At 46.9% G+C, this 8,707-nt stretch overlaps 1 pseudogene; it reads right to left on the reverse strand.

Moving 5' to 3' along the window:
* RN7SL507P (RNA, 7SL, cytoplasmic 507, pseudogene) lies at window positions 1,001–1,295 on the reverse strand (annotated as a pseudogene).

Raw genomic sequence — 8,707 nt, forward strand, 5'->3', positions numbered from 1 at the left:
TATGCCTGTAATTCCAGCTACTCAGGAGGATGAGGTGGGAAGACAGCTTGAGCCCAAAACTTGAAGACCAGCCTGGGCAATAGAATGAGACTCTATCACTTAAAGAAAAGAAGAAAAGAAAAGAAAAGGAAAGAAAGAAAGAGGAAGAAAGAGAAAGAAAAATAACTAAAGTGTTGGTAAGCCACAGAATGTTAGAAGATACTTATAACACATATAAGTGACAAAAAATTAATATCTGGACCAGTGTGGTGGCTCACACCCGTAATCCCAACAACTTTGGAAGGCCAAGGCAGGAGGATCCCTTGAGACCAGCCTAGGCAACACAGCAAGACTCCATCTCTACAAAAAAATCTAAAAATTAGCAGGATGTGGTGGTGCTTGCCTGTAGTCCCAGCTATTTGGGAGGGTTAGGTGGGAGAATCGCTTGAGCCCAGGAAATCAAGGCTGCGGTGAGCTGTGATGGTGCCACTGCACTCCAGCCTGGGTGACAGAGGGAGATCGTCTCGAAAAAAATTAATATCTGGAATATACAAAGAGCATATAAAGAACTACTACAAAACAATTAAAAAACAAAACAAAACAAAAAACAGTTCAATAGAAAATGACGAAAATACTTTGAAGAGGAACTTCACAGTAGAGAAAATCCAACTGACCAATAAGAATTTGATTAATTTTATTATTTTTTTAGAGACAGGGTCTTTCTTTTTTTTTTTTTTGAGACGGAGCCTCGCACTGTCGCCTAGGCTGGAGTGCAGTGGCACGATCTCGGCTCGATGCAAACTCTGCCTCCCAAGTTCATGCCATTCTCCTGCCTCAGCCTCCCGAGTAGCTGGGACTACAGGCACCTACCACTACCACGCCTGGCTAATTTTTTGTATTTTTAGTAGAGACGGGGTTTCACCGTGTTAGCCAGGATGGTCTCAATCTCCTGACCTCGTGATCCGCCTGCCTTGGCCTTCCAAAGTGCTGGGATTACAGGCGTGAGCCACCGCACCTGGCTGAGACGGGGTCTTTCTATGTTGCCCAGGCTGGAGTGCAGTGGCTATTCACAGGCGTGATCCCACTACTGATCAGCATGGGAGGTTTGACCTCCTCCCTTTCCACCCTGGGCTGGTTCACTCCACCTTAGGCAACCTGTTGGTCCCCCACTCCTGGGAGGTCACTATATCGATGCTGAACTTAGTGTGGACACCCGATCTGCATAGCGCACTACAGTCCAGGACGGGCCTCAAGCAATCCTCCTGCTTCAGCCTCCCAAGTAGCTGGGACTATAGGCTCACATCACCTCACCTGGCTCAATAAGCATCTGAAAAAATAGCCAATCTCATTAATATGCATGAATATACCAACTACAGTAAAATGTCTAACAACAATATTCAAAGTCAGGGACAGAAGAAATGGAAGTATACTGTTATAAGTTTCCTTTGTAACATCTTTATTGAAGTATAATTCACATGCCATAAAATTCACCCATTTAAAGTGCACAATTCAGTGGCTTTTATTACTCCCCGAGTTCTACAACCACTACATTCTAAGTTTAGAGTATTTCCATCACTCCAAAAAGAAATTCCATGCCCATCAGCCATCACTCCTCATTCCTCCCTCCAGCCCTAGGCAACCATTAATATTGTTTCTGTCTCTATAGATTTGCCTATTCTAGACATTTCATGTAAATAAAATCATACAATATAGGCTGGGCGCTGTGGGTCATGCCTGTAATCCCAGCACTTTGGGAGGCTGAGGTGAGCAGATCACCTGCGGTCAGGAGTTCGAGACCAGGCTGGCCAACATGGTGAAACCCGTCTCTACTAAAAATACAAAAATTAGCTGGGCATAGTGATAGGAGCCTGTACTTCCAGCTACTTGGGAGGCTGAGGCAGGAGAATCGCTTGAACCTGGGAGGCGGACATTACAGTGAGCAGAGACTGTGCCACTGCACTCCAGCCTGGGCAACAAGAACAAAACTCCATCTCAAAAAAAAAAAAAAAAATCATACAATATAGGTTTTTTGGTGGCTGGCTTCTTTCACTAACCATGATATTTTCAAGGTCATCCATGTTGTAGCATGTATCAGTATTTCATTCCTTTTTATTGCTGAATAATATTCCATTGTATGCATATAATACATTTTGTTGGTCCATTCATCAGCTGATGGACTTTTGGGTTGTCTCCACTTTTTGGCTATGGTGAATGATGCTGCTTCAGGGGGTATTCCTGATGGGTCTGAGCCCCTGGTTTCCATATCCATTCAGATCATGGTTTTGCTGCAGTTGCCCATTCAGTTATCATCACTCATGGAGTCAACACGAGGTGACCAGTCAATCCCCTGAGGTCTAGATTTATTCTTTCTGCACCCATTATATAGCAGCAACCCTGTCTCCTCATGATAATCAGGGTTGATTACCCTGCCAGGAGAGTAGCTTCTTTTTATTTTGTCTGCTGATCTACTGGCCCGAGGAGCTCAAAACGATCATAAGGCAGCCATAGCTTCAGTTTTAGTGGAATCCTTACTGAGTGGCCTGGTAGAAGCATTCCCTTCACCTACCCTTGGGAATCAGGATCACCAATCATGATCACTAGTCTACCAAAGTATAAAGTGGCAGGAGGTAAAGCTGGACACCGTGGTGCACACCTGTAGTCCCAGCTACTCCGGAGGCTGAGACAGGAGGATCACTTGAGCCCAGGAGTTCAAGACTGTTTTGTGTGATAATCCTGCTGGTAAATAGCCACTGCAGTTCAGCCTGGGCAACACAGCAAGCAGCTGTCCCTCTCTATTTTTTTTTTTTTAAAAGGCAGGGCTCAGTGGCTCATGCCTATGATCCCAGCACTTTGGGAGGCCAAGGGAGGAGGATTGTTTGATACCAGGAGTTTAAAACCAGCCTGTGCACCATAGTGAGACCTTGTCTCTACAAAATTAAAAAAAAAAAAAAAAAGTAGTGTGGGTGAGAAACATATATTTCCCAGTGGGTTCCTGGGAAGGATGGTGAGGGGGATCACTCCAACTTCTATTCCTAGGTTCCTGGAACCATGTATTCTAGCTATAGCAGACACAGCACCATATAATGACCATTAGTTCCAAGTAGATACTGTAGCTTTTTTTTTTTGAGACAGAATCTTGCTCTGCCACCCAGGCTGGAGTGCAATGGCGCAATCTCAGGTCACTGCAAGCTCTGTCTCCCGGGTGCGGTGGCTCATACCTATAATCCCAGCACTTTGGGAGGCCAAGGCAGGAAGCTCGCTTGAGCCCAGGAGTTCGAGACCAGCCTGGGCAACATAGCAAAACCCTGTCTCTGCACACACACACACACACACACACACACACACACACACACACAATTAGCCAGACACGGTGGTGTGTGCCTGTTGTCCCAGCTAGTTGGGAGGCTGAGGTGGGAGGATCATCTGAGCCCAGGGAGGTCAAGGCTGCAGTGAACCATGATCACTCCATTGCACTCCTGGGCAACAGAGCGAGGTCCTGTCTCAAAAATAAATAAATAAATAAAAATAAAAAGAAGCTGAAGGACATCTACTGACCAGGCTATCTTGTCCGCCCGGTTGCTTAGTACCCCTTCTGCAAAGGATGCTCACCGTGGGGTACCAATAGAGACATAGTGCAAACTTTGTGCTCACTCCAGCAAATCCATCCATTTGTCCTCCCCTCACAAAAACCCGTCTCAGATCTTCCAGCCTTGCTCCTTCTAGGTCTCTGACCTATCAGACAAGACTCTGGCCTCTACCTAGTAATCTGTGTATATCCTTAGCTCAAAGCCCTTTTCCTTCCACCTTATGTTGCTGACCAGGTGCTAATGTCAGCAGCTCTGTCATCAAGGGGGTTTCCCCTCACCACTGCCTTTCAGGGCCACCCTTGACTGTGGCTGTGATGTGGCTGAAGTTCATTTTCAGTCCACACCAACCTAGGAAGCCATTTTATCTGTAAATTAGATCTGGGGCTTTTTTTCCTCCTCTGTCAACTGGTGATAAAGAACTCCCCATGAGGCCAAAGGTGTGAGTTGAGGGAGAGACATAGCTGCAACAGGGATACGTGCCCTGGGGGTCTGGCTGCCTGTTCATGTAACTTACTTGTGCGCTTTAGGCTGAGTAGTCCTCATCTGGAATGCACCATTTCCATGGTAGGATGGATTATTGCTGCACCTGCTCAACTGTGTCACTTGGTGTATCTGACAGTTCCCGCTTCGCAATGGGCAGCTCTGATCACATCACCATACCTGTCCAATGGTCAGGTCTCTGCAGCACAACCGAAGACTTCTTTTTTTGAGACAGAGACTTGTTCTCTTACCCAGGCTGGAGTGCAGTGGCACAATCTCGGCTCACTGCAACCTCCACTTCCTGGGTTCACGCCATTCTCGTGCCTCAGCCTCCCGAGTAGCTGGGACTACAAGCGTGCACCACCACACCTGACTAATTTTTGTATTTTTAGTAGACAGGGTTTCACCATGTTGGCCAGGCTGGTCTCGAACTCCTGACCTCAGGTGATCCCTTGACCTCCCAAAGTGCTGGCATTACAGGTGTGAGCCGATGCACCCGGCCAGAAGATTATTTTTTAAAACCGGAACAGTCCTCTGCTGTAGATGGCATGGCCTTGCTCCAGAACCTTCTGGGCTTGCCAGAGACTCCCCAAAGCATCCTATGAATCATAGATAGATGGCATCTGCTAGGCTATATGAGCCCAAGTGGCAGGGAACTTTGCATTTTGGCCTGGACTGAAAAAAACCTCTCTTGTTGTGGGCCCCACTCAAAACCAGCAGCCTTCGGAGTTCCCTGAAAATTAGTTGGAGCAGTATTTCCAAGTGTGGCATGTGCCATCTCCCATATCTGAAGGGGCTTGCCAGGCTTTGTGCATCTTTCCTAGGGATAGGAGACACATGGTGGTGCCAGTTCACTGGACTCTGACAAATTTTGCAAAGATCCTTGAGTCTTTGTAGGATTTATCCTCCAACCTCTGGCAAGCACGTGCCTTGCCACTTTCTGTTCACCAGGTTCCATTAGCTCAATGTCGTCGGTACAATGGATTGTGTGATGTTGTGTGGAATGCCAAGATGATCAAGGTTTCTGCTCTATTATGACAGAAAGCAGGACAGTTAACATAGCCCTGGGGTAAGACTGTGGATGTGGACTTTTGTCTGTCCTCAGGGAAAGGAATCGGCTTTTTTTTTTGAGACTGAGTCTCGCTATGTTGCCCCCGCTAGAGTACAGTGGCTCGATCTCGGCTCACTGCAACCTCCCTCTCCCGGGTTCAAGTGATTCTCGTGCCTCAGTCTCCTGAGTAGCTGGGATTACAGGTACCCACCACCACGTCTGGCTAATTCCTGTATTTTTAGTAGAGACAGGGTTTCACCATCTTGGTCAGGCTGGTCTCAAACTCCTGACTTCAAGTGATCTGCCTGCCTTGGCCTCCCAAAGTGCTGGTATTACAGGCGTGAGCCACCGAGCCTGGCAGGAATCTGCTTCTAATCTTACTTCCTTCAACAAATTAACAGTCATGGACTAAATGGCAGGGACTCTGTTGATCTGTTCTAAGAAAGCTAACACATCTGGCACAGCACTCAATCAGGGCGCCACTTGGTTATGTGCACCCTCATCTACAATGATCCATCTGGTTTTTGCAAGAGCCAGATTGATGAATTAAATGGGGATATCCTGGGAACCACCACTTTTATATCCTTTGTGAGTGACTCCAACCACTGCCATTCCACCTGGGCTGGGGCATTGCTTCTGATTAACTCTCTTGGGAGGGAGATGAGGAAGCAATTTCTAATTGGCCTTTCCTACCCTAATGACTCTTATTTCATTCTTTTTTTTTTTGGAGATGGTTTCATTATGTCACACAGGGTGGAGTGCAGTGGTACAATCTCAGCTCACTGCAATCTTGACCTCCCTGGCTTAACCAATCCTCCCACCTCAGTGTCCTGAGTAGCTGGGACTACAGGAGTGTGCCACGATACCCAGCTAATTTAAAAAAATTTTTTTGTAGAGATGAGGTTTCACTATTTTGCCCAGGCTGCTCTCAAACTCCTGGGCTCAAGTGATCCTCCCACCTTGGCCTCCACACTTGGGATTACAGGTGTGGTAATGGCTCTTATTTCAGGAAACCAACGCGAGAGATCTGCTATCTACTAAGTACCTCTATTCCACTATGTATTCAGGGGCCAGGGAAATAACCATCAAGCAGACTGATGGGCCAGATCTCCTTTCATCACCTGGCCTCCATATGCCCCACACTAATACATGCCCATGATGGCATTTTGGTTCCTTAATATTAGTGTCAGTTCCAACTCTGTATCCAAAAGCCTTGAAAGATCTGAGTATTTCCCTTTCCCCAGGATGCAGTTGCTCTGATAAGCAGCTGTAAGTACCTTTGGGGGAAGAATAGGATAATTACCATGATATAAACTTGCCATGGCATTGTAGGATTCTTCCTGAAGGGAACTGGCCCCCACTTCAATGAAAGGGCTCTATATTTGGCCACGTTTGGTGGCTCACATGTGTAATCCCAGCACTTTGGGAGGCCGAGGTGGCACATCACTTGAGGTGAGGAGTTCGAGACCAGCCTGGCCAACATGGTGAAACCCCGTCTCTACTAAAAATACAAAAAATTAGCTAGGTGTGGTGGCGAGCACCTGTAATCCCAGCTACTTGGGAGGCTGAGGCAGGAGAACCGCTTGAACCTGGGAGGTGGAGGTTACAGTGAGCCAAGATTGCACCACTGCACTCCAGCCTGGGTGACAGAGCAAGACTCCATCTCAAAAAAAAAAAAAAAAAAAAAAAAGACAAAGGGCTCTATATCTGAAAACTGGTTTGGGCCTGGAAACTGGGTATGGGATGGGGATTTTCCTTTGCAGTGGCTAACTTCAGCCTTCTGCTGTCTCATTCTTGCTTGTTTTTATAAGCAAGAGATACCCTCCTTCACCATCCTCCTATCTGGGAACACCATGGTCTCTTGGTCATCACAATAGATCCCTGCTTACATTTCTGGTCTTTCTGCCTATTACGGTAATTATGTCCACTTAGCCTCTCATGACCACGTGCTGTCGCCTGACCTCGTTCTGGACTCCTGTTATACCCACTGACTCTAGAAAGGCTAGTCCCATAGCAGCTCCCGCTACCATTGCTCTGGCCTGCTGAGGACAGCTACCACTGACCTGCAAATGCCAGTGGCCCTGTTCCAACTAGCACCTTTTGTATCACTTTATTTATTGAGTATTTCTGGGCCCTCATGAAGAACACAGTAGGCTGGAGGGTTCTATAGTCTTATATAATAGTCATTTTATTCTGGCATGCCCACTTTTCTGAGCCTTTATTCTTCCAAGTATTCTGTCAAGGAAGTTCCAACATCTCTACCTCATTTGCTGGAACTCATAGTTTTTCCACACTTTGAAGATCTATCCCGGGGGCATATTGCAACAGGCTTCTGGTGTCCTTGCCAAGCTTTAAAATGTTAAATCCCAGGCCAGGCGTGATGGCTCACTCCTGTAATCTCAGCACTTTGGGAGGCCAAGGCAGATGGATCACTTGAGGTCATGAGTTTGAGACCAGACTGGTCAACATGGTGAAAACCCGTCTCTACTAAAAATACAAAAATTAGCCCGGTATGGTGGTGTGCACCTGTAATCCCAGCTACTCGGGAGGCTGAGGCAGGAGAATTGCTTGAACTCAGGAGGCGGAGGTTGCAGTGAGCCTAGATCGCACCATTGCACTCCAGCCTGGGTTACAGAGCAAGACTCATCTCAAAATAAATAATAAATAAATAAATAAATAAATAAATAAATAAATAATAAATAAAATAAAATAAAATGTTAAATCCTTACCAGGTAGGGCATTCCATATCAATAAACGTACCCTTATTCAGCATTTTTTTTTTTTTTCTGAGACGGAGTCTTACTCTGTTACCCAGGCTGGAGTGCAGTGGTGCGATCTAGACTCACTGCCAACCTCCACTGCCCGGGTTCAAGGGACTTTTGTGCCTCAGCCTCCTGAGTAGCTGGGAGTACAGGCACACGCCACCAGGCCCAGCTAATTTTTTTGTATTTTTAGTAGAGATGGGGTTTCACCATGTTGGCCATGCTGTTCTCGAATTCCTGACCTCAGGTGATCCTCCCGCCTCAGTCTCCCAAAGTGCTGGGATTACAGGAATGAGCCACCCGACCCGGCCTTACTCAGCCTTATATTCCACCCCCTGACCCCAGTCTAACACCCTCAAGATATGTTCCCAAACATGTTCTGCCAAATTCTTCTGGTAAATGTTCACCAGCTCCTGCAGGTCTTTTGGTGAATCATCCTTTTCTTTCCATAGATGGGACAGTGCTTCCCCACTTGGTCCCTGATGAGACTTGACCATTGTTATTGGTCTAGAGTCATGGAGGGGAGTCAACATCAGGCTTTGAAGAGGGCAAGTATCATCTTGTGAGGCGTCTGCCTCAGGTGAGGAATCTGCATGTTATCTAGGCAAGGGGAGGCTGCTCTCTTCCACCCAGGGGGAGAGGCCAATTCTGCCAGCCCAAATAACTCAGCATAATAAGGGGGTTTTAGAACAGATGTTCCCATACCAGGCCTCAGGATCCCACTCCTTCCCTCCCAGGGCCCTGACCTGCTGGGGCTTTAAATATAAAACCCTGCTACTCTTGCAATCAGATTATAGGACTGATTTTCATCACAGTCTGCCCTGCACAGGAGGTGAGGGTTTCCTTAC

Source organism: Homo sapiens, chromosome 17 (assembly GCF_000001405.40).
Source record: "Homo sapiens chromosome 17, GRCh38.p14 Primary Assembly".
Taxonomy (NCBI): Eukaryota; Metazoa; Chordata; class Mammalia; order Primates; family Hominidae; genus Homo; species Homo sapiens.